The sequence below is a fragment of the Homo sapiens genome, chromosome 7, assembly GCF_000001405.40.
Source record: "Homo sapiens chromosome 7, GRCh38.p14 Primary Assembly".
NCBI classification, from domain to species: Eukaryota; Metazoa; Chordata; class Mammalia; order Primates; family Hominidae; genus Homo; species Homo sapiens.
In genome coordinates this window covers 106,247,905-106,274,840 of record NC_000007.14, presented here as the reverse complement: position 1 = coordinate 106,274,840, position 26,936 = coordinate 106,247,905, and the positions used below count along the sequence as shown (strand labels likewise).

The 26,936-nt window shown below is 35.6% G+C and overlaps 1 protein-coding gene across 3 annotated transcripts in view, besides 2 other annotated features; it reads left to right on the top strand.

Moving 5' to 3' along the window:
* NAMPT (nicotinamide phosphoribosyltransferase) overlaps window positions 1-26,543 on the top strand; it is a 37,591-nt gene extending 11,048 nt beyond the window's left edge. For 2 of the 3 annotated variants that reach the window (XM_047419699.1, NM_005746.3), the window contains 8 exons: window positions 2,183-2,311; window positions 5,529-5,687; window positions 6,241-6,377; window positions 11,224-11,449; window positions 13,134-13,253; window positions 20,337-20,477; window positions 21,690-21,824; window positions 23,648-26,543. In XM_047419699.1, the coding sequence (XP_047275655.1) occupies window positions 2,183-2,311; window positions 5,529-5,687; window positions 6,241-6,377; window positions 11,224-11,449; window positions 13,134-13,253; window positions 20,337-20,477; window positions 21,690-21,824; window positions 23,648-23,758 (1,158 nt within the window). In that variant the 3' untranslated portion in view covers window positions 23,759-26,543. Of the gene's footprint in view, window positions 1-2,182; window positions 2,312-5,528; window positions 5,688-6,240; window positions 6,378-9,669; window positions 11,176-11,223; window positions 11,450-13,133; window positions 13,254-20,336; window positions 20,478-21,689; window positions 21,825-23,647 lie in introns of those variants that run through there. The other variant, XM_047419700.1, reaches the window with a different exon arrangement.
* Window positions 13,790-14,314: an enhancer, noted in NCBI's record as "NANOG hESC enhancer chr7:105900973-105901497 (GRCh37/hg19 assembly coordinates)". NCBI's record gives its function as "activates a minimal SCP1, AML or CMV promoter by ChIP-STARR-seq in naive H9 embryonic stem cells {active_cell/tissue: H9 hESC(naive)}" and the evidence as "EXISTENCE:reporter gene assay evidence [ECO:0000049][PMID:30033119]".
* Window positions 14,315-14,841: an enhancer, noted in NCBI's record as "NANOG hESC enhancer chr7:105900446-105900972 (GRCh37/hg19 assembly coordinates)". NCBI's record gives its function as "activates a minimal SCP1, AML or CMV promoter by ChIP-STARR-seq in naive H9 embryonic stem cells {active_cell/tissue: H9 hESC(naive)}" and the evidence as "EXISTENCE:reporter gene assay evidence [ECO:0000049][PMID:30033119]".
* Window positions 26,544-26,936: the final 393 nt, after the last annotated feature.

The following is a 26,936-nucleotide window of genomic DNA, read 5'->3' as shown; positions in this document are numbered from 1 at the left end:
CTCTGTCACCCAGGCTGGAGTGCAGTGGCACAATCTCGGCTCACTGCAACCTCTGCTTCCTAGGTTCAAGCTATTCTCCTGCCTTAGCCTCCTTAGTAGCTGGGACTACAGGCACGCACCACCACACCTGGCTAATTTTTGTATTTTTAGTAGAGATGGGGTTTTACTGTGTTGGCCAGGCTGGTCTCAAACTCCTGACTTCAAGTGATCTGCCCACCTTGGCCTCCCAAAGTGCTGGGATTACAGGTGTGAGCCACCATCCCCGGCCAGAATTTGAATAAGAGATTAGAGTATCATTACAGTTCTTTTTTGTTTGTGATCTGAATATAATGGCTATTTCATAGCCATTATATATCCTTTTGAAAAGTTATATTATAGCCAATATATCCTTTTGAAAAGTTAAGGTTGACATTTTATCCCTCTCCCCGCATCCCCCATGTTAAATCATTAGCATATAGAATCTACAGCAAGTCTAAGTAATTAATAAAAATGAATTATAACTTAAATAACATTTTTGAGAAAGATAATTCATTCTTGAAAATACACTATAGGTAGGAAAGGGCATGGTTATTTGGCAATTTCAAAATGTAGGTCTGTTTTCTTGACTGAAAATAGATGCTGTGAGTCTATCACTACACATAATTCTGGGAAGTTTCTCACTGTATAGTGAGAATGGCTTGGTGCTGATCCACAAAGTTGATTTTTAGTCTTGATTGTATTATATTTATATCTAGTATGTTTGAATTCATTGCCTAAATATTAAGGCACTCAAAGACATGGTAATAGAATTATAAGAGTTAAATATCCCGTGGTGGTTTCCTTTTATTACAATGATCAGTTGGGAATGGAATCTGTTGGCGTATCTTGATGTTGAGTGTTACTTTTAAGTCTCACAAACGAAAGTTTCTTACATTGAAAAGACTGTCAAACACAGAATAATTAGAAATACTTTAACTTTCATGCCTATATGACAATACTGAGCTATACTATTTGGTACTTATGGGTCTTGAAAAAGTCAGGTAAGTACTCTGTGCTGCACTTTTCCTGTATCTTAAATAAGGTCAATAGAATCTGTGAGCTATCACCTGTACTTGCTCCATTTCTCTTCTGTGAGGTTTGTTGTAAGGATAAATACAGTAATAAGTTAGGTACTATGCTTATTACTATACTGTCCAGTGGCCAGGGCAATAAGTCGTTTGATTATATGATCAGAAAATCTTGGGGAACTAAAGGTTCTCTAGAGATAATCTGGTCTAACCCCATTTTACAAACAGAATCTGAGACCGAGAGATGGCAAGTGACTAGTCCAGGGTCTCCCCGCTGCTTTTGAGTCCAAACTAGGACCTGTAGGGCAATGTTCTTTTTGCTATACACTGTGCCTCCAGTGCTTGTATTAAACAGATTTTTCTTGTATTTAATTACCTTGTCCCAAATCACATAAATAAATTATCAGGATTTCTGAAACAGCTTGCCTTCCTAGTGAAAAGTTAGGCACAGCTCTTAGCTTTAAAAGGGAGGTACAGTGTCACATAACAAATAACCTTCAGCCTAATTTTGGAGGCAATTATTACATTAAGAGGAAGTCAGTTAAGTCATACTCGAGTGTTAATTGCCAAGATTCTGTGTTTGGCCTGTCTCATAGTTTCAGGTCCACGACCAGAATAGAGGGAACCTATTTCGGTTCTTCTGCAGGGATTTCCCTAGCTCTCCTTCTCTCTCGTTTTGTTTTCTTTTGTTCTTTAATAGCAATCCTTTATCTTTCAATCTGCAGCCTTTATTTTGTGAAAATAACGAATTTAGAATAAAGGTAGTGTTCTTGGAATACTTTTAGAATATGTTGGAATAAAGTCATCCTTTCTCATTTTCTGAAAAAGCAGGGAAGAAGCAACAGTTTGGTTTTGATGAGTTTGGAATTTTCTGCCACTTGTAGTGATAAATGTTCTTAGCAGAAGCACGTGGCAGCATTAAACTTAAAAATTAATATCAGTACGTATGTTAATAATTTTAACTAGTTTTATTTTAGAAGGATAAGGATATTCTGACTAGATTACAGTAACATCTACAATTGCAATTTCTATGACAGTAAATTTAGCTTCTATAAAACGTAAAGAACCTTTAGTAAAACAGCAGGGAATTGAGTATCATCTGTTGAATAAATAAATTTATCATTTTATCCTGCCAGAAGTATGATGGGCATCTTCCAATAGAAATAAAAGCTGTTCCTGAGGGCTTTGTCATTCCCAGAGGAAATGTTCTCTTCACGGTGGAAAACACAGATCCAGAGTGTTACTGGCTTACAAATTGGATTGAGGTAAATTGTTTTTTTAATTCTTATTTAACATTAATTGAATAAAGACCATTGAACTGAGATTACAGTTTAGAATTTGTTACTAATAAAGCTATATAATCTCCTATAATTTACTTAACCTTTCCAGGCTTCAATTTCCTCATCTATAAAATGACAGACTAAATAATCTTTAAGGTTTCTTCTAGTAGAATAGAATGTTCTGAGATTTTGTTTAAATCAAATTATTGAGAGTGATTGTTTTTAAAACCTAGTTGGCTTTCATCTAATTCATTGCCATTTTAAGTGTGTATTATTTTAGAGCAAACTTAGAAAAACAGCACATTTCTAGTAACTTACGACATTCGATGAATGATAAATGTTCAAGTTAGACTAAAGGAACTTTATTCCAACTTCTAGTAACTACTTTCTTCATTTTTCTCTCATCAGTTTAGGTCTTAGGATCTACCATCTGTTACTTTTCAGTTTCTCATCTAAATAAAACAAGATCTGCTGTTCATATTGTTTAATTTCTCAGGAAGGGTACATTTTGGGCTTTGGGTTTATACTGCGAGCCTTTTTTTTGTTTTTCTTGTATGTATACCTAAGTAGTCATATGTTTTCACATGGTCAGAGTTTTGATAATAATACTCTACCTAGCTTCTGAACAGTTTAATAATAGATTTAATCCGTGAGAGGAAATACCCTCGAAAGTTACTATAGAAATAACACCTTACTATCTGGTGGCATTTACTTAGTTCTTAGAACTGACTAATTAGTTTATCGGTTAAAGTAATTTGCTATTATATTGTAAAATAGTACATTTGAGGCTCACTTATAAAAATTGGAAAACATCGAAATATAAGAGGTCCAAGAGGGTGTTTGAAACACATTTTGCTAAGTTGACAGGAAATTAATAGACTTTTTATGGGCCATTAACTAATAATACACTCAAAAAAAAGGTACAGTTAAATAAAGGTTTTAAATAGTCTATACCGTATACTAAAACTAAATTAATATTTAGGACTGAAATAACATATTGATTAAGTACCAGCTATGTACCCAAAAAATGCTGGGCACAGAAGTTAGAGTAAGATGTTTTACTTAAAGGGCCTTTGAGTGAGAGTTGGCAATTCATTCTGAACTAACCACTAATATCATTAAGAATTAGTGCTGAGTTGGTAGCAGGAAATAGGTAATTCTGTCTAAAGGAATCATGAAATGGAAAATAAATAAGCTTTTAATAAGGAGAAGGAAGAGCTGAAGAAATGGCACAGTGTTCTTAGAATGACAGATAGTCCTATGGGGACTGCAGCATAAAAGTGAAAAATGTATAAGATAAACCTTTAGATGGTAAGCAAGGCAAGATTCTCAAATTCTGTATGAATCAGCTCCACCTCCGCCCCATGGACAGTAGATGACCGTTAATGGCTTTTAAGGAAAGATGCAACCTGGAAAAAAAGAAAAAAAACTTGTTTTAGAATGGTAACCACTGGCAATATGAAGAATAATTAGACTAAAGAAGAGAGGTAGGATAATCATGGGCATTGGCAGTGGAATTGAAAGAGTAATTTCAGAAGCAGAATGGTCAGATGTTGGAGGTGATTGGTTATAGAGTTTAAGAATTGTACTGATTTTCTATTGTGTAACAAACTACCCCAAAACTTAATGGCTTAAAGCAACTATTATTTCTCCTGATTCTGTGGTTGACTGGATGGTCGTCTGCTGCTCTTGCTTAGACTTAGGCATCTGCATTTAGCTGAGGGTTCAGCCAGGGCTGGACATCCTTTAATGGCCTCATTCCCATGTCTGGGGCCTCAGGTCAGATAGCTGGGACTACCGGGTCTCACTCCAGAAGAGGTTTCTTCAGAGCATGGTAGTCTTGGGGTTCTAAGAGAATGAGAGTAGAAGCTGCAAAACCTCTTGAAACTGGGGCTTGGGAGTCACACATGACTTTCTCCACATTCTGTTCGTCAAAAGCGAATCATAAGGACAGCACAGACTCAAGGGATAAGAAAGGAGATTCCATCTCTTGATGAGAAGAGCTGCAAAGGCCATATTTAATCAGTCACAGGAGTCTAATGCTACAAAGTAGTTTTTTAAAAAGATGACTAGATTGGCAAGTTCAAGGTTAATCTTTTTATTTGTTTTATTTATATATCACTTAGCTGGTATTCAGTAAAAGCTTGCTTTGTAAAATTTAGTTAATATCTTTTTGGTTCAGCACAGACATTGCATCATCTTAGCAGCTCTTTTTCAAACAGATTTGAAGCTGCTTCAAATAACAATCTGGTTTATAAAATGAAAATAGAAAATTATGATCTTAGAATGAAGAAGTGAATTTCTAAGCCATGATAATTATTACGGTTGCTGTGATTAGACAGACTTTTCTGTGGAGCTTCCTGACAACCAAGAAAAAAGGGGAAATCAAGGAACTGTTCTTATCAGAAAGTAGGAACCCAGCAATTCTTTCATTTTCTCATTGGGAACTTAATAGTCACTGAATTACAAAGTAGACAGTGACCTTGATTATACAACATATGCGGAAGTGTTTCCTGTAACTTACGTGAGTATTTTATCAAATACTTATATATTTGATAAAAGCTAAGTACATAAAGCATAACTCAGTAGATAGAATTCTCTAGTAGTAAGCTAAAGTGCTTCAAGTATTAGTTGTCATATTAATCCAAGAGAAAATTAGATCTGAGACTACCTCGAGGAGTAAACGAACAACTTCTTTAAACCAATACTAGTCAAAATGCAGTCCACGGACCAATGCTGGTTCATGCCCTATTTGATCCAAGTCCACATTAAGTACAGAAATGAAGAGTAAGCATTTAGAAACTTGGGGCAATTTGACATTGCCTCAACATCCAAGTTTCAGTGTCCTTTATAAACTATTGATCCATGACAGATCATGAAACTTTCTAAAAATTGATCCTTTTATCACATAGTCTTTCAAAATATTATTTGCTTCTTTGAAGCTTTGGATAGAAACTTGATAATGTGAAGTTCTCTGCTATGTGGACCTGGTGTGCTTATCTTCTTTGTTGCTGATTTGAGAGCTGAGCTATGTACTATATCTGGAATGCACACAGCAGGCATCCTGCTGCGCAGTTCTGTGTCTAGTTAATAGTATGGAAGTTCAGGACATACCTCCAAAAAAAAAAAAAAGCTAGGATTTTCCTCAGAAAGAATGCAGTATTTTATGTCTTAATATTTGTGGTTAATTTTGTTACTACAGACTATTCTTGTTCAGTCCTGGTATCCAATCACAGTGGCCACAAATTCTAGAGAGCAGAAGAAAATATTGGCCAAATATTTGTTAGAAACTTCTGGTAACTTAGATGGTCTGGAATACAAGTTACATGATTTTGGCTACAGAGGAGTCTCTTCCCAAGAGGTAAGTAACTGAAACCAACCTCATTTAATATAATGTGGATTGTTGGTTAGAGTACCACTGTAAACTTTTGGGGACGTTATTGAGATTGATCTTGGTTCTAAAATTCCAAAGATTCAACCAACAGATACATATTCAGTACCTACTACTGTGTTCAGGGTACATGGGATATGTCCTTCAACAGATGTCCCTGTCCTTTATATATTAGATGGATGGACAGATGGATAGCCAGAAACAGACATAATATATCAGATGTGAAATAATGCCATAAAGAAGCTCAAGGCAGGGTAAGGGAAGAGAGAGTGATGAAAAGTGGGGGTGGGACACTGTTAAATAGGTCTCTTTGAGGAGATAATAGTTGATTTTTTAAAATATTTAGGAAAAACTGAATCTTTGTCATTAGGAACTGTTATGTCTGACAATAAATACTTTCCTAAGAGAAAGACAATTCTTATGGGAGCTATGCTATATTCCTTAAATGTGGTTGGCTGCATCCTGGTATTATTAATGTGGGTTTCTTTCTGTTTTGGATTTTGGTTTATGATTGATTTTCCAGACTGCTGGCATAGGAGCATCTGCTCACTTGGTTAACTTCAAAGGAACAGATACAGTAGCAGGACTTGCTCTAATTAAAAAATATTATGGAACGAAAGATCCTGTTCCAGGCTATTCTGTTCCAGCAGCAGAACACAGGTAAAAAATTCTGTTCATTTTTTAAAACTACTAATTTTTTCACTCTTGTATTTGTAACTCAGTGACATTTTACCTAACTGCAGAGCCAGGTACCTACAGTACATCTTCATGAACTTGAGCAACACAAATTCAGTATTTATACAAAAGTATAAACATTAGTCTTAGAGAGGCAGAGAAATTTTATCCATGCTAGAAGAAACAGTTTAAGAGCTTTTTTCCAATACTTATATTGCCATAGAAGTTTTCTTTTAAGGAATTTTTTTTCAATTACTGTATTGTCATATGTAGGTAGATTTTATTCATTAAATTTAGAAGCACTCACTGTAAGTACCAGCCACTTTTTGCCTTTTCCCTGTCCTCCTACATGACCTTATCTATATTTGCCCTAGAAATTGTCATCTGTACTGTACCTTCAGTTGTAGATGAGAAAGCAGGACCTGTTGAGGAAAGAAAGGGTGTTCAGATTCTTTTTACGCTTCCTTGTCTGCTTTCAGTAAACTATCTCCAGTTACCCAAGAAAGAAATTACAATCTAAACTGCAGCTGCTCTGGTCCTAGAGCTAACTTTATTAAAAGTAAATCAGGTTGTTTTTTTTTTTTTTTTTTTTTTTTTTTTTTTTTTTTGAGACGGAGTCTCGCTCTGTCGCCCAGGCTGGAGTGCAGTGGCGGGATCTCGGCTCACTGCAAGCTCCGCCTCCCAGGTTCACGCCATTCTCCTGCCTCAGCCTCCCAAGTAGCTGGGACTACAGGCGCCCGCCACTACGCCCGGCTAATTTTTTGTATTTTTAGTAGAGACGGGGTTTCACCGTTTTAGTCAGGATGGTCTCGATCTCCTGACCTCGTGATCCGCCTGCCTCGGCCTCCCAAAGTGCTGGGATTACAGGCGTGAGCCACCGCGCCCGGCGTAAATCAGGTTTTTTAAATGTTTGCCAAACCTTATCACTGACTTTTATAACAAAATTATTTACTATAATCATTAGGGAATATTTAAGTTCTGCTAATACTTAAAATTGCAGAGTGCTAAAACCAGCAGTGAGTTTAGAATCAAGCTAAGCTTTATTGTTGCTACTATTTGAGGCATATTAGTTGACTGGTGTTCATATGCAAGGCAGTCTACTGGGTGCAACAAGGGTTAGAAGGATATTTTTAAAAAACTGACCCTATTCTCAGGATGAAAATAATACACTAGTAATAGTCTGCTCTGTTGGTTAACTCCTCGTAAGGAGGTACAATTAAAATGCTGTAGTGTTGCAAGGGAAGGAGAGGAAGAATCATATTCCTTCACTAGCAGGATCAAGAAAGCTTTTATAGAAATATACAAAATCTTCACTTCTTGAAGGATTGGTAAAATTTAATAGCCAACATTGGGCACTTATTCATTCTCTGAGTAAATATTTATTGCATGCTTATCTTGTATCAAGCATTGTGATGAAAGCACAAGAATGAAAGAGGAGGGAGAATGTTTAGAGAATAAGGGCTGAAACACAGATTTTGTAGGGAGCGTAGGGGAGACTGAGAAGACAGGTTCAGGTTAGTAAGGGCGCTCATATTTTGACACTGAATGTTAACTATGTGCACATCATGCTAGCTATTCTAAATCAGGCATTTTCAAATGGAAGCAGGCACTGACATTTTTGAGCAAAGACGTGATGTTATGAGATAAATATCTTAGGGGACTTTTTTATATTTTTATAGCAGGATATCTATCCTATGGATTGAAAAAAGGAAAAATCAGAAGGTAGTCTTTATAGGAAGCTATTCCAGCAGTCTTAAGGTAATGAAGTCCAGACCAAGGTGCTAAATAAATGGAAAGAAATAGGTAAACATGAGCAATGGCTTGGGAGATAAAATTGCTCAAAGTTGGTAATTTGAGTTGGGACTCAGTAGAAAATAGATTCAGCTGACGTTTATGAGCATTGTATTAGTAAGGCCTTGTTGAACACTTTTACATACAACTTTCAAGACTAGGAAACTGGGAAAATAAGAGTGTCTTTAACAAAGTTTTAAGAGTTATTTTTAGTTTGGCCTTAGATGTACATACATCTTTTAAAAATCTAACATAGTATGCACATATTAGACTCTTCGTTGATGGTTATTTCAAAGTAGTAACATCATGATACGGAGGACAAGGATAATATCTTCTTTAGGACTTGTTAAAATGAAAAGGATACTGTATGTGGGCAAGGGATAAAAATCCATTTTATTTTTATGGTCTCATATTGATTGCATTTGTAAAATTTGACTCCTTATATATTCAAATGCCTCACATGTTCTTAATAGAATGTCTTTTAAACAACAGCGTAGTATAGCAAAAAGAGGATTGGACTGAAAGTTGGGAAACCTGGGTGACCTTCCGGCTGACATAGTGGGTGGCCTTGGGCAAGTCACTTATCTCTCTGTTCTTCATTTCTTCCATCCAACCAAACAAAAGGAGGAGCTAAAGTTTTACATCTCCAACATGACAAGGTCATTGATGATAAATGAGCTACTATCTAAATAACTTTAAAATAAGAGAACTCTATAAATTTAGAGGTTTACCACTATTGTATGTATCTTAATAGATGAATCTGCACCTAAAAATATTTAATTACAGAAGCTTTTTTTCTCAAACTTTGGAAAGGTATCAAATTTAATTTGGTGCTTGAAATTAGGATTTATGGCATTGGTAGAATTCATTGATTATTTATGATCTTCATATATCACATACTGTACTAGAAGAATAGAGGTTATGATTGGACTAGACAGAGAGTGCCAGAGCAAGTATCTGTGGGATGCTGAGATGAAGATATTCAACTTTCTATCTAACAAAGTAGATCCAGAGCCTGGAAGAAAAACAGAGGCTAAGATACAGATACTGGAAACCCTCATGCAGGGACTTTTTTTTTTTTTTTTTTTTTAAGCTTTTGAGTGTTTCACACAAGGTATGTTACAGAAGACAAGTGCCTAAGTCAGAACTATGAGAAATATTGCCATCTGACAGGTTAGATTAAAGAAGGAGAGCACAGCATCTGGGAAGACTGAAAAGGGAACCATAGAAATAGGGGAAAAAAGGTGAAACATGGGAGATGTCATTGAAGTCAAGAGAAAGAAAGCATCAGGAAAATTCAGGTGTCATGGAGAAAGCAAGTAAGATGGGGACAGTGAAGTTTGCTAGACATGATACAAGTAGATCGTTAGGTGACTTACTGATACAACGTTATAAGTAGTGACCCCTTAACTGTAGGAGTTAATTCATACGTTGTAAAGTTCTCCAGTATTGGTATTCATTGATCTTAATTCTCTCCTTTTTAAAGAGAAAAGTTGCAGACCTGAATATGAAGAGGAGCTTCTCTTCAGTCATATCTTAATTTTCCATTTAGCCTACAGATGCATGAAGTAGAGAATTGACATCATAGCTACTGGCAGCCTCTGTAGCTGTTAAGAAGAGTGTTCACTAATGAGTTTTATATAAACAGGTTCTCTCTCAATTTTGGATTCGGGTAGTAGTCTTTACAATCTTGAAATGTGCATGCTGCACTACCCCAGGTATACCATTGACAGTATGGGGAAAGGTTCTAAGTCTAGTCCTTTAAAAAAAAAAACACACACACACATTGTATAAAGTGATTATTTCAGACATAAAGTCTGACTCTTCAAACAGTTATGAGTTAAACTTATACCTACTTGGGCTTTATAATAAATGAATGTGCTATCTTTTTATTATTTACTGAGGAGAACAGATTAGAGGCGGACTAGAAAATTAGGGAGAATGACCAATTGCTTGGCATAATTAAATGGTAATTTTCAAAATTAAGTTGTTTGAGATCTTTTAAAATTATTTACATTATATATTAACAAATATTTACACAGGTTGAGCATCCCAAATCCAAAATGCTCCAAAATCTGAAACTTTTTGCTCAAAGGAAATGCTCATTGGAGCATTTCAGATTTCAGAACTGGATTTCAGATTTCAGAACTGGGGATGCTTAACTGATAAGTATAATGCACATATTCCAAAATCTGAAAAAATTTGAAATTCAGAATACTTCTGGTCCCAAGCATTTCAAATAAGCGATACCCAATCTATAATTACATATTGAATACAAATCTATCCCGTAAGAACTGATATTAAGGACATTGCAAAAATCACTATAACCATTCTTATCCAATAGAAACTCTCATACTTTATTTTCCATCTTAATTATGTTTTGCTTAAACTAAGTATTTGAATTCTTATTCCCTGGGCATATATTAATTCGTAGTAGATAATCTGCAAACAAAATACATGACTTCCTATTACTAGCCACTTGAAAATATAACAGGTAGTTGACTATATGTATGTATGGTATAGTATAAATAATTGCCTCTAAGTATAAGATTTTGAAAGGTAAAAAAACAAAATGTATGTCTGTACTATTATTGGTATATAGTTTCAAAAATTCACAGAAGGGAGCCAGGTGCTCTCATTGCCTAACAAAATAATGGAAATATGTATTCATTCTAACATCTTGACATACAGTATAAAGGGCACTCAGCAAGTGCTTTTTAGTTAGACTGATTTTAAATGAGTAGATTCAGGAATACCAGAAAACACACACACACACAGATAATTGGTTGAAAATACGAGGTTAGAAACTTAACCATTGAAGAGGAGTAAGGCTACTTAAAGCGTTAAAAACTAATTGGGTAAGGTATGGTTGACCCAGCTACTTCATTTGCCTTACGATGTATATTCATTAAACTAAGTCACTCACCTTCTCTGTGATGTTGATGGTTTGGTATAGTAAACATGAGATATGATTAAAGGTGATTCAGGGATAGATCAAGTGTCTGCCTAAGTAAATCTGTGTTTTCATTTTTTTTTCTAGTACCATAACAGCTTGGGGGAAAGACCATGAAAAAGATGCTTTTGAACATATTGTAACACAGTTTTCATCAGTGCCTGTATCTGTGGTCAGCGATAGCTATGACATTTATAATGCGTGTGAGAAAATATGGGGTGAAGATCTAAGACATTTAATAGTATCAAGAAGTACACAGGCACCACTAATAATCAGACCTGATTCTGGAAACCCTCTTGACACTGTGTTAAAGGTAAATTTTCATATGTAACTTTATTATTAGAATCCCTCTGTAGGCCAGCTGCATCAATACTACTTTTCATTTATATACACACAATTTCAGAGCTGTGTGGACCAGTCCCCTTTATTTTAGAGTTGCAGCCCAGAGAGAGTAATAGATTTGCCTGAGGTCACACAGTAATAGCACAGAAGGATACCAAGACTTATGGATTGTTTTACTGTCAATTAGACATTTGAATAGATATTTTGTTTTCTGCTTACCTGCAAAATTAATTAACAGCATTGCCATTTTAATTAATCCTATGATTTGGGCACCAAACTTATTTGCAGTTTGTTTCTTTTTCAGCATAAGTCACTGCTAGACCTTTGAAGTTGTTAGCACAGAAGAAATAGGAACAGGGTGATGTGGAATAAAAATAATTCAAAAATACTCTTCAAGTGGAGGTTCTTTAGAAATACTGTTGATTCATAATGTAGCAGTGTTACTTTTTGTTGTTAATGTTCAAGGACTTGGTTTATCTTCTTCAAAAAGTAGTAATAGCAGGCTTATTTGATGCCTACTACTAGAAAAATATTTTAGGTGATTTACATAAGATACGCCATTTAATCTCTACAAAAAAAAACAGTGATAAATATTACTGTCTCTGTTATAGAAGAAAAAAACAGAGGCTTAAAAAGGTTAAAGTAACTTGCTCAAGGTCACACAACATGAAAGATAAGGAGTCAGATATCCAGTGTAGGTCTTTTGGCTGCAGCCTTGCTACTTGACCACACCATTTGTCAGTTAATGAGCAGATGATACTTACCCCTTAAGAAAGGGAAACAGAATTAAGGAGGTCTTTTCTTATTCTATTAAATGATAGGCCAATCTGAAAGTCTTGTCTTAGCCTGCAATATTTGGTTTTAGCAAACTTGATAGGTTTCATGTTTTTACTGTTACGTAATAAAAAATGTACACAGCTAGTTATGAGAAACTGATTTCATCAATGGGGAATTTTCTCTTTGTTAGAATCTTTAATCAGTTTATTTAGGAAAAAGAAATGATTGTTGTGGGAAGAGAATGTATTTCTTTTGTTTATATGACCAAGCTTTCTGAGAAATTTTAATTTGGTGTACAAAACTTTTAGTAGTTAGTGAATGAGTAAGATGATTTGTGTATTGTGCAGTTTGGCTTTAAGAGCAAAGGAGAACTTAGAGACTATGGGTTCTAGATGCTGTGTCTGCCTTTCACAGTTTCTCTGAACTTTGTGATTGAACTGGATTCATATTGGAGTTATATATCAGACAAAAACCAAAGTCATTGGGCACAAGCAGAATAAGTCCAAATTAAAAGTATAATCATGAGTTTGTTAAATAATGCTTTATATACTTCTTTAAAATATACTTATTTAATATTAAGGATTTTTTTTTCCTTGAATCCATATAATTTGAAAGGTCTAAGGGGAAAAACTTGTTTTGAGCCACTTTATGATGTGAATTCACTTCATAGGAAATAACATGCTTGTTTTTAATGTACTTTAACCCTTTAAAGTACACTGGACCAAATTTTAGAGAGCATATACATAGTGTTATAAAATTTTTAAAGTAGTTAATTTTTATATTCTCGATTATCAAAGCAAAATCATTTAACTTTGAAAAGCTCTTATACTTGTTTTCAGCTTTAGTTATTTGTGTTGCATGTGTATTTTTCCATATAGGTTTTGGAGATTTTAGGTAAGAAGTTTCCTGTTACTGAGAACTCAAAGGGTTACAAGTTGCTGCCACCTTATCTTAGAGTTATTCAAGGGGATGGAGTAGATATTAATACCTTACAAGAGGTATGTGTTTTATATTAAAAGTTTCAATAAGGCATTTCTTATAATTAAGTTTGTTTATGTTTGATAAAGAACACAATATAAATACAATTTTAAGTCTTTGTAAGTGTTTATGTTGGTATAAATCTCTGTGCATTGCTTAAAGTTTAGAAATAATAGTAGTTTAAAATACAGAGGTGCCAGCCAAGCCATACTTACTCTTCCAGTTGTCATTGGCCACCCTGAATGATGAATCTAAAGAAGTATCATTGTGAAACAAGGAAATGTCAGTCAAGAAATATTCCTTGGAATATAAAACAAAGCCTTGACTCTGCTGGCATAGGTCTGAGTTTTCATAGACTGGAGCTTCACAAATCTGTAAAACTCATAATATTAATGGGTGCTTTTTCAGAAATTATAGAATAGCTGCCACCTCTTCTAAATTAAGCATTGACTGTCATCAGTATTAGATTTAGCCAGATAGTATAAGTGTTATGCAGGCGTACCTCATTTTATTGTGCTTTGCAAACATTGCATTTTTTTACAAATTGAAGGTTGTGGCCACCCTGTGTTGAGCAAGTCTGTTGGTGCTATTTTTCCAACATGTATTCACTTCATGTCTGTGTGACACATACTGGTAAATTCTCACAATATTTCAGACTTTGTCATTATATCTGTTATGGTGATCTGTGATTAGTGATCTTCGATGTTACTACTGTGATTGTTTTAGGGCACCACAGGGCACACCCAGATAAGGCAGTGAACTTAATTGATAAATACTGTGTGTGTTGTGACTCCTTCACCAGTTACCCATTCCCTTTCTCTGCTCACTTCAAGTTTCCCTATGCCCTGAGACACAACAGTATTTAAATTAGGTCAATTAATAACCCCACAGTGGCCTCTGAGTATTCAAGTGAATGGAAAAGTCACATCCCTCTCATTTTAAATCAAAACCTAGACATGATTAAGTTTAGTGAGGAAGGCATGCTGAAAGCTAAAATAGGCCTCTTAAGGCAAACAGTAGGCCAAGTTGTGAATGCAAAGGAAAAGTTCTTGAAGAAAAATCAAAGTGCTACTCCACTAAGCATATGAATAAGAAAGTGAAACAGCTTTATTGCTGCTAGGGAGAAAGTTTGAATGGTCTGAATAGAAGATCAAAGCAACCACAACATTTCCTTAGGCTAAAGCCTAATCCAGAGCAAGGCCCTCGTTTCAATTCTGTGAAGCCTAAGAGAGGTGATGAAGCTGCAGAAGAAAAATTGGAAGCTAGCAGAGGTTGGTTCCTGTGGTTTAGGGAAAGAAGCCATCTCCATGAGTGCAGAATGAAGCAGCAAGTGCTGATGTAGAAGCTGCTGCAAGTTACCCAGAAGATCTAGCTAAGATCATTGATGCAGGTGACTAAACAGATTGTCAGTGTAGAGGAAACAGCCTTCCATTGGAAGAAGGTGCCGTCTAGGACTTTCATAACTAGAGAGAAGACAACATCTGCTTTGAAAGGACATGCTAACTCTCATTAGTGGATAATGCAGCTGGTCACTTTTAAGTGGAAGCTAGTGCTCATTTATCATTCTGATAATCCTAGGACCCTTAGAATTTGCTGAATCTACTCTGCCTGTGCTTTATAAATGGAACAACAAAGCCTGGATGACAGCATGTCTGTTTACATCATAGTGTACTGAGTATTTTAAGCCCACTGTTGGGACCGACTGCTCAGGAAAAAAAAAAAAAAAAAAGATTGTTTCGAAATATCATTGCAGATGGCATCTGAGATCTGATGGAGATGTACAAAGAGGTTAATGTTGTTTTTCATGCCTGCTAACACAACGTCCGTTCGACAGCCTATCCATCAAAGAGTAATTTCAGATGCTATTATTTAGGAAATATATTCTTGGCCGGGTGTGGTGGCTCACGCCTGTAATCCCACACTTTGGGAGACCGAGACAGGCAGATCACGCAATCAGGAGATCAAGATCATCCTGGCCAACGTGGTGAAACCCCGTCTCTACTAAAAATACAAAAATTAGCTGGGTGGGGCAATGCATGCCTGTAGTCCCAGCTACTCAGGAGGCTGAGGCAGGAGAATTGCTTGAAGGGAGGCAGAGGCTGTAGTGTGCCAAGATCACGCCACTGCACTCCAGCCTGGGCAACAGAGTGAAACTCCGTCTCAAAAAAAAGAAGAAATATATTCTTAAGTCTGTAGCTGAAAGGGTTCACCATTCTAGATGCCATTTAAGAACATCATGCTTCATGGGAGGACGTTAAAATGTCAGCATTAACAGGAGTTTGGAAGAAATTGATTCCAACCTTCACAGATAACTGAGTCTTGATTTGACTTCAAGACTTCAGTGGAGGAAGTAACTACAAATGTGGTAGAAATAGCTAGATAACTAGAAGTGGTGGAGCCTGAAGATCTGACTGAATTGCTGCAGTCTCATGATTAAACTTGAACAGATGAGGATTTGCTTCATATGGGTGGATACAGAAAGTGGTTTCTTGAGATGAAATCTACTGCTGGCAAAGATGCTGTGAACATCGTTGAAATGACAACAAAGGACTTCGAATATCAGTAAAATCAGTTGATAAAACCAAAGCAGGGTTTGAGAGGATGCACTCCCAATTTTGAAAGAAGTTCTTGTGTGGGTGAACGCTATCGTACCAAACAGCATCGCAAGCTACAGATAAATCTTTCGTGATAGAGTCAATTGACGTGACAAACTTCATTGTTGTCATTTTAAGGCATTGCCACAGTCACCCCAAAACCTTCAGCAACCCTGATCAGTCAGCAGCCATCAACAACAGGGCAAGACCCTCCACCAACAAAAAGATGACTCACTGAAGGCTCAAGTGACCATTAGCATTATTTAGCAATGAAGTATTTTTAATTAAGGTATGTATTTTTAAGACATAATGCTATTGCACACTTAATAGACTACAATGTAGTATAAACATAACTTTTATATGCAATGGGAAATCAAAAAATTCCCGTGACTTGCTTTATTGCAGTGGTCTGGAAGCAAGCCCACAGTATTTTCAAAGTATGCCTGTATTGTCTTAAAATTTTTGCCTCGTTTACTAAATAAGGTTCTTAAGGGCCATAATTTCATCATAACACCTAAAATACTCTGTAGAATATCACTAACATAATGTAGGCCATTTGCATTCAGAAACCACTGACATTTTGATGTATACGAATCTCAGATGGTATCTACAGCTATGAAACACAAGTTTTTTTCTGTTCGAAAGAGTTTGGTGGAGATAGAGTAAGGTCAGTACCCAAATTATAGTAGTTTTCCAAAGATTGTTGTACATAATACTTCTCACTTCCAAATCAAACAGTATTTCTGCGGTGATGGTGTATTTAGAGTTCCAATATGAGGCGTCCGGAATAGATCTCTTGTAATAACAGAGATGAGGTTTCTTCCACTACCTCTTCCAAACTGCCTTGCTTAAGAGAAGTGGGAATTCCTTCAGCTAAGACATTTGGTGTTGGGACATAGGGGCTTTCATGTGGAAAGGAAAAAAGAAATAGAAGAAAAGTCTGCAGGGAGAAGGGGGAGGACCTTACACATAGCAATCTCAGCTGACACACCTAATTGCCGTTTTCCCCTTAGCTCAGCTGAACTGACAGTCTCTTACCTTGGTGTCAGTTAAGTACTGTTCCCAGGTGCCTTTCAGGCACTTTAGCACTTACGTGTATACACAGACACACACACACACCCCTCCCCCTTGCAGGTGAAAGAACATGGCAGGGTACTGTATCTGTTTCAGAAATCCCATTAGCCTGCCTGTTGCTGTGCCTACCTTTCCTTGTTCCAGCAGTCAGCTGTTGGATTGTTCAGGCAAGTTGAACGGAGTTCAAGTTGGGTGTTCAGTCAGGTACTCAAAACTTTCCTTTCAAAAATCAAAGCTCTTCGGCTTTCTTTTCCTTCTTTTCTTTCCTTGTTTATATAAACTTTAGGAATGTATGTGCGATTTTTTTTTTTTGACAGGGACTCAGTCTGTCACCCAGGCTTAGTGCAGTGGTGCAGTCACAGCTCACTGCAGCCTCAACCTCCCAGGGTCAGGTGGTCCTCCCACCTCAGCCTCCTGAGGAGCTGGGACTGCAAGTGTGTGCCACCACACCTGACTCTTTTTTTTTTTTTTTTTTAATGTTTTGTAGAGATGGGGGTCTCACTGTTTCCCAGTCTGGGAAACAGTCTCAACTGTTTGGCCTCGAACTCCTTGACTCAGGCCTCCTAAAGTGCTGAGATTACAGGTGTGAGCCACCATTCCCAGCCTGTATGTGCATCTGTATAGTTGAGAATCAGCCCAAAACTGTACATGAATAAACTACATAAACAAGAATATTGAGATAAATACTCTTTGGCATTAGTGAAACTTAAACAGAACAATTAGAGGATTGAATCGTTTTGTGTTAATGCAGATGTACTCAGGAAGGAAAAATATCTTTTTCTCTTTTTTTTTTTTGAGATGGAGTTTTGCTCTTGTTGCCCAAGCTGGAGTGCAGTGGCACAATCTCAGCTCACTGCAACCTCTGCTTCTCGGGTAGCTGGGATTACGGGCGTGTGCCACCACGCCCGGCTACTTTTTGGATTTTTAGTAGAAATAGGGTTTCACCATGTTAGCCAGGCTGGTCTCGAACTGCTGACCTCAGGTGATCTGCCTGCCTCGGCCTCCCAAAGTGCTGGGATTACAGGCGTGAGCCATTGCGCCTGGCCAGAAAAATACCTTTAAAAAGCTGGGCCTGTTGGTGTACCTAAAGGATAATACAGATGTTCCTCTCAACTTAGCATGGGGTTGTGTCTCAATAAACCCATTTTTAAGTTGAAAACGTTAAGTGGAAAATGCATTTATTATACCTAACCTACTAGACCTCGTAGTTTAGCCTCCCTTACCCTACAGGTGCTCAGAACACTTAGTAGCCTACAGTTGAGCAGTCATCTAACACAAAACCTATTTTATAGTAAAGTGTTGAATATCTCAAGTAATTTATTGATGTTCCACTGAATGCGAATCACTTTTGCACCGTTGTTAAGTTGAACCATTGTATGTTTGTGACCATCTGTACTTGTAATTTCTTTACATTCATTGGTATGAAAAATATGTTCTTAGAAGCAGGAAAAAGAATTCAGTTTTGCTTTGTATACTAAATTAGATGCTGTAATTTTGATAAAATGAAAAATCTGCTTTATTTGCAACAATTGTTTTCTTCCTTGACGTCAGCCTCACTCTTGGACTTTGCTATTCAGCCTGTCACCCCTGTGAATTCCCATGAGGTTGACAGTGTAAACCTGCTCTAAGTTTTCACTTTGCACTGTGTACCAAAATGAAACTGCTTATTTAGGAAAATAAAAATATCTTTTGTGTTGGACAAAATACAGAGCGCCTATCTTCTTTTTCTGTTGTGTTTCAGTTATGGATTCAGTCTTCTTGGGTATCATTGAAACTTCTATTGGAGTGATTTATTAAAATATTAACATAGTATTGCATTATCAGAGTTGGCAAGAGGAAGCTTTCTTTGAAGTCTCACATGTATTAAATGTTTTTCTTCCCAGACTCAAAATTCACTTTAACTCCAAATTGTCTAAATTTTAAAACTTTTGGTAAAGAAACTTGGCCTGAAATACAGTGATATGATATTAGATGATACTGTTCTTTGTTATTTCCTCATTTTGTTTTTGCCTCTGAAGCATATCTAAAATGAGGTGACAGGTCAGAAACTATTTTCTCTATATTTTACCTTACCCTCCATCTACCTGTTTCCCTTTTCTTCCCCTTTTCTGTTCTACTCTTTGCATTTCTTCTGTATTGAAATTCACTTTGTTCACAATTATTTAAAGGAAAACCTGAACTCAGGGGCCTTGGGTACCTTTAGGTTCAGGTACAATAAAGACATGAGACTGGATTTGCGTGCATCCTAAAAGAATCACTTTTAAATAAGTTTTATATGTTTTCATCTTGATTCTTCTAGATTCATCTTGATTCAAATTAGATGGTTGGCATTTAAAAAGAAAGTTGCATTTCTAAATGTAGATTTGTTTAAAAATGAAGTTGCTTGGGATTTGTTGGGTTTTTTCCTTTGCAGTGTTGAAAACAAAGAAAGTCAATTCGAGACTATTAAAAAAGTCAATTTGAGACTATTTGGTGAGAATGTGGTAACTTTGATACACATAAGGCTGTTACACTTATGATTTTCTAATAACTTCTGAAAGTTCTGTTTAAAACAGAGTCAGCCTTTCCAGTTGCTTTCTGTTTGACTATTCTCATGAAATAAATGGTTACCAAACTTCACTTGCCACATTCTATCATCAAAGTGATTGAATATATTAAGGCAGATGCTAGGTAAATAAACTTGACTTTGGTGAAAGAAATACAAATGACATTGGTAATAAACACATCTTTAAAGTTGTATGTCCCTTGAAAGAACTCTTTTAGAACTGTTCATACAGGTCTCTCTAGCTGGTTTATAACTAATCATTCTCCCAAAAATGATACAGTAATCTTAACACCCACAGCACCTGTGCATAATTTTGTTTCTGGCACTGGTATATCAGCCAGAATAAAATGACTCTACCAGTATACCAACTGTTATATAGGAGAAGTATTTTATACTCTTTTGCCACCAATATCTTTGATTCTTACATGTTCCATTACATATGACATGTAATTATACAGTGTATTGTGACTTATTGGTGATGATTACAGTCATTCCTAGAGTCTAGTAAATTGGCTCCCATTGCTTGTGTTGCTGAGATCTGGACAATAACTTAACGAGGTGAATGAGAGAAGTTGACTCAAGTAATCTTAGATATTTATAGCTAGTTTTTTCTCACTTTCTCTCATTTCCTTCACTCCCCGAATCCTACCAGAACCACAGTGACAGCAATGCAGATTCAGGAACTATGCATGAAATCCTCTCCTTCCACACATATCCATCTTTTGGGGGTGGGTGGGTCTTTAAAAACAAAATGCGGGCTATAATTATTTATTGACCGTGTTATAAAACAGTCTTGGATGCTTCATTCATCAATATTGTCCCTTGAAAATAATCTCCATTCTCTTCCAAATTAAGGTTTGGTTTGGTTTTGTTTTGTTTTAATCTTCTAGATTGTAGAAGGCATGAAACAAAAAATGTGGAGTATTGAAAATATTGCCTTCGGTTCTGGTGGAGGTTTGCTACAGAAGTTGACAAGAGATCTCTTGAATTGTTCCTTCAAGTGTAGCTATGTTGTAACTAATGGCCTTGGGGTATGTCACCTTTTAATTACTTCTGTGTTACTACCTTCCTTATGTATCTAGGTAGAATGTGGTTATTGAGTGCATTTGTCAAAGATTGATGTGGCCGTGGACTGTTAATATGTTGTTGGGTACTACTGACCTTAACTCAGAAACAAGGAAAGAAGGGAGATATTAGGTAATAACAGACCTAAGGAGACAGAGATTTGGAAAAAGGAAGAACAATAAGGAAAAAGATTATTTAAGAGAGATAATACAGGTCAGTCATTTCCCACTGCCGTTTTTACCTTTAGATCAAAAAGTAATATTTGAGTAGGAATGTCAGCTTACCTAGCCATCATATATTAAAGACAAGCAAGTATATAATCACTGACCAAACTGTTACAGGAAGGTAGAATATGAGGTTTGGATTGTTATACCACAGTCATGTTCTAGTAGCCATAGAACAGCTAGGCAAGTGAACAACAACCCCCCTTGCTTCTTTGTAACGTCTTGAGAGCTGGAGATTCTATAGAGCAAGGGACAGAGGCAGGAGGATGCTAAGAATTAAGAACACCTGAGTTGATTCCCTGCTTCACTCTTTGATCTTTCTTTGGAAAGTTCTGGGATTGACTCATTTGTTGCTGCTTGTTCCACTGCCACTTGTTTCTGTTTCTTTGCTGCCTACCTTTCTGATGTAGAAACACTCTGCTGTCTTCAGGTTCTCTAAGACTTTTGCTTCTGACAATAACAAGGCAAAAGTAAAAAGTACCAAAAGAGGGATACGTTATGAAATAGGAAAGCCTTTACCTTAGTAATACTCTTGTTCCCTCTCCAAAGATTGTGTGTGTGGTTTTGGCGTAGTTGGTATAGTTGGGCTTTTCTTCAACAGCATGTACATGCTGTGCTTACTGTCAGTTTAAAGGCAGTTTGTAATATAAAGAGATACCTTAAGGGTCACATGTTAGAATGCTCACAGACTTCCTACAAATGGAGTATTAGGTGTTCTTCAGTGGCAAAAAGGATATCCAAGATGTCATACTTTTTCTTTATTACAAACGACTATCCTTCAAAACAGGCTAAAGTGTTATGTTTCTGAAAGCCAGATGTGGATTGGTTCAGTTATACCTATTAAGTGCTTAAAACTTAAATGTAAATTATGTATGTGCTTTTTTGTAAGGGAGTGTTTAGACATTTCTGATGATTAGTCTTCTACTTGTCTAACTTTCTTAATTTGGATTTCAGATTAACGTCTTCAAGGACCCAGTTGCTGATCCCAACAAAAGGTCCAAAAAGGGCCGATTATCTTTACATAGGACGCCAGCAGGGAATTTTGTTACACTGGAGGAAGGAAAAGGAGACCTTGAGGAATATGGTCAGGTATGTATCTATGCTGATTGGTTTTTTTAAGCAATAGTAGGTTGGCTCACCAAATTAATAAGAAAGGAGGTTTTTATGTTATTGTTTTTGTGGAAGACAAAGTATTATATTTTATTATAAAATGTCCAATTGCTGACCTGGCCTACCAAAATAAGATACAAAACAAGTGTCTACGTCATAAACACGGGGCCTGTGTATACATAGGGAGAAATATTACGTAAGTATAGTGATTGACAGCAAGTTTGTATACACTTTATCCAAAAGCAAACTATGTTACTTTAATATAAAATGTGAAAACAAGGTGACTTGATTTGGATTACATAATAAATGGTGAAACCTTGATTTAACCAAGTTTTCTGATTCAAATCAACCAAACTAGAAAAATTTACAGTACACTAAAGTAGTTCATATGATCTAATGGTCTTTAGCATACAAAAGTACATTTATATTTGTGAACTCAAGTTAAAAAATTTTTGGTTTTTAAGCCACTTGATCAAAAAAAACTTTAGACAGAACTATTCATGAATATTCATATTATTAGAAAAAAGTACACTAAACATGAGTGCACTATTACTTCCTATTTTGATTCTTTATACTACATCACAATTACTGCTTATAACATGTTACTTTTACATTTATTAAGGTTTTGAGCCAGAATTGAAATAACTTTGTTACCGTTAATGAAAAAATATGTTTGTAAATCAAACTTTTAGAATTAGATCCCTTTATATAGCCTGTTAGGCAATTATTTGAGTAAGCTTTGTGTAACTCTTGTACCTACTAAGATTTTGGCAGATTTAGTTTATCCTAGATGAGCTAAAGTCACTTCAAACTAAAAGTAAAAATCTAAGTGTGATTTTTAAAAGACACTGATTTAAGAGTATGTGAATGATAGTAGAATAAACTAGAAAATAATTCATAATCATCTAGGCAATTTGATTTAAGAGTAGGAACTAGTATTCCCTTAAATTTAAATTTGTGAAAGAAAATGCTACAGCTAAAGCACTGTGGTTTGAAGCAACACAATGACAGAAATATTAGATAATGTCATATGCACCTCAATCTTCAGACTAGGTGGAAAATTGAGATTACTTCTGTGGATTTTTCAGAGAGAAACCAGAAGCAGGTAACTCCTTAGTGAGACAGGAGTGGCTCTACCAGACCCAAAGGGAATTTAATTTCTTCAATCTGTCTTTGCTACTCTTGTATGGATGAAGTGGATTACCTTTGTCATTGACTTTTGGAGTATAAACAGAATCTTTAACCCAGTCACTGTGTGTTAGTCAAGAATGCAATACTTGTTTTTCTTTGTTTCTGTTTTGGGATTGGCTTTTGGCTTTTTGTGGGTTTTCTAGACCCAAATTTAGCACTAGCAAATTTCTTAAACTTCCATTTGATAAGTTTAATCACTGTTGAGTTTGTTGGCCAGGAACAAGGCAGGGTTTACCAGGCTTTTTTGCTGCACACTCACAATGATTACAGTTCTCCCTAGGCACCCAGGCATCTTCCTTCAGCCTGAGGAAAAAAAAGATTGGTCAGCTAGGTTTCTTGGTTTTCCTTTAAGAAAACTGGTTTAAGAATGTAGTATTAAGGTCATTCCTTTTCATAGAAGTTAAATATTTCTACATACCAGGCAACTCAGTGATTGGCCATTTTAGATAGTACCTTGTTCCACTAGCATTTTTTATGCATCAAATCATCTCACAATTTGAACACCATTGGCATCTCTGTATTTGACTGGTTGGTTAGTCTAATTCATCAAACCAGGATTCAGGTATTTTGCTTAATAATGTAATATAATCATGAAATTTCCATTTATGCAGGATCTTCTCCATACTGTCTTCAAGAATGGCAAGGTGACAAAAAGCTATTCATTTGATGAAATAAGAAAAAATGCACAGCTGAATATTGAACTGGAAGCAGCACATCATTAGGCTTTATGACTGGGTGTGTGTTGTGTGTATGTAATACATAATGTTTATTGTACAGATGTGTGGGGTTTGTGTTTTATGATACATTACAGCCAAATTATTTGTTGGTTTATGGACATACTGCCCTTTCATTTTTTTTCTTTTCCAGTGTTTAGGTGATCTCAAATTAGGAAATGCATTTAACCATGTAAAAGATGAGTGCTAAAGTAAGCTTTTTAGGGCCCTTTGCCAATAGGTAGTCATTCAATCTGGTATTGATCTTTTCACAAATAACAGAACTGAGAAACTTTTATATATAACTGATGATCACATAAAACAGATTTGCATAAAATTACCATGATTGCTTTATGTTTATATTTAACTTGTATTTTTGTACAAACAAGATTGTGTAAGATATATTTGAAGTTTCAGTGATTTAACAGTCTTTCCAACTTTTCATGATTTTTATGAGCACAGACTTTCAAGAAAATACTTGAAAATAAATTACATTGCCTTTTGTCCATTAATCAGCAAATAAAACATGGCCTTAACAAAGTTGTTTGTGTTATTGTACAATTTGAAAATTATGTCGGGACATACCCTATAGAATTACTAACCTTACTGCCCCTTGTAGAATATGTATTAATCATTCTACATTAAAGAAAATAATGGTTCTTACTGGAATGTCTAGGCACTGTACAGTTATTATATATCTTGGTTGTTGTATTGTACCAGTGAAATGCCAAATTTGAAAGGCCTGTACTGCAATTTTATATGTCAGAGATTGCCTGTGGCTCTAATATGCACCTCAAGATTTTAAGGAGATAATGTTTTTAGAGAGAATTTCTGCTTCCACTATAGAATATATACATAAATGTAAAATACTTACAAAAGTGGAAGTAGTGTATTTTAAAGTAATTACACTTCTGAATTTATTTTTCATATTCTATAGTTGGTATGACTTAAATGAATTACTGGAGTGGGTAGTGAGTGTACTTAAATGTTTCAATTCTGTTATATTTTTTATTAAGTTTTTAAAAAATTAAATTGGATATTAAATTGTATGGACATCATTTATTAATTTTAAACTGAATGCCCTCAATAAGTAATACTGAAGCACATTCTTAAATGAAGATAAATTATCTCCAATGAAAAGCATGACATGTGTTTCAATAGAAGAATCTTAAGTTGGCTAAATTCAAAGTGCTTGACATCAAAATGTTCTAGAGTGATTAGCTACTAGATTCTGAATCATACATCACATCTGACTAGAGACCAGTTTCTTTCGAATGATTCTTTTATGTATGTAGATCTGTTCTTCTGAGGCAGCGGTTGGCCAACTATAGCCCAAAGGCCAAATTTGGACTTCTTTTTATAAATGCAGATTGTCTATGGCTGCTTTCCCACTACTCCAGCCTAAGGTAAACAGCTGCAATAGAAGCCAAATGAGAATCGCAAAGCCCAAAATGTTTATTAACCTGCCCTTTACACAAAATTACACAAAAAGTTTCCTGATCTCTGTTCTAAGAAAAGGAGTGTGCCTTGCATTTAAAAGGAAATGTTGGTTTCTAGGGAAGGGAGGAGGCTAAATAATTGATACGGAATTTTCCTCTTTTGTCTTCTTTTTTCTCACTTAAGAATCCGATACTGGAAGACTGATTTAGAAAAGTTTTTAACATGACATTAAATGTGAAATTTTAAAAATTGAAAAGCCATAAATCATCTGTTTTAAATAGTTACATGAGAAAATGATCACTAGAATAACCTAATTAGAAGTGTTATCTTCATTAAATGTTTTTTGTAAGTGGTATTAGAAAGAATATGTTTTTCAGATGGTTCTTTAAACATGTAGTGAGAACAATAAGCATTATTCACTTTTAGTAAGTCTTCTGTAATCCATGATATAAAATAATTTTAAAATGATTTTTTAATGTATTTGAGTAAAGATGAGTAGTATTAAGAAAAACACACATTTCTTCACAAAATGTGCTAAGGGGCGTGTAAAGAATCAAAAGAAACTATTACCAATAATAGTTTTGATAATCACCCATAATTTTGTGTTTAAACATTGAAATTATAGTACAGACAGTATTCTCTGTGTTCTGTGAATTTCAGCAGCTTCAGAATAGAGTTTAATTTAGAAATTTGCAGTGAAAAAAGCTATCTCTTTGTTCACAACCATAAATCAGGAGATGGAGATTAATTCTATTGGCTCTTAGTCACTTGGAACTGATTAATTCTGACTTTCTGTCACTAAGCACTTGGTATTTGGCCATCTCCATTCTGAGCACCAAACGGTTAACACGAATGTCCACTAGAACTCTGCTGTGTGTCACCCTTAAATCAGTCTAAATCTTCCAGACAAAAGCAAATGGCATTTATGGATTTAAGTCATTAGATTTTCAACTGACATTAATTAATCCCTCTTGATTGATTATATCATCAAGTATTTATATCTTAAATAGGAGGTAGGATTTCTGTGTTAAGACTCTTATTTGTACCCTATAATTAAAGTAAAATGTTTTTTATGAGTATCCCTTGTTTTCCCTTCTTAAATTGTTATCAAACAATTTTTATAATGAAATCTATCTTGGAAAATTAGAAAGAAAAATGGCAAGGTATTTATTGTTCTGTTTGCCATAATTTAGAACTCACACTTAAGTATTTTGTAGTTTTACATTCCTTTTTAACCCATTCAGTGGAGAATGTCAGCTTTTCTCCCAAGTTGTATGTTAAGTCTATTCTAATATGTACTCAACATCAAGTTATAAACATGTAATAAACATGGAAATAAAGTTTAGCTCTATTAGTGAAGTGTTAAATTTGTGTGCTTCAAGTAATGCCATTTTCAGGCCTACCTGTTTTAAGTATTCCTCCAGTTCAAAGAATTAGAAGATGAGAGAAGGGCAAGTGTCAGAGTTGACTCCTTTTCTGCTTTGTGCAACTGTATAGATGACAGTGCCTTTTACTAAGGAAGAACACTGGAGGGACATCAGATTTGAGAGGAAAGAGCACGATTCCCGTGTTAAGGCTTGAGACGCCTTTGACATATCTAAATGTAGGTATTAAGTAGGCAGTTGATGATACAGGTTTGTGGACAGAAGGGCCTCAAGGTATGACTGATGTATACCTTGGAAGGTATACATCTTTGGAAGCACACAGTAAAGGATACTCTTCTAGGGATAGTATAGAGCAGGAGTTG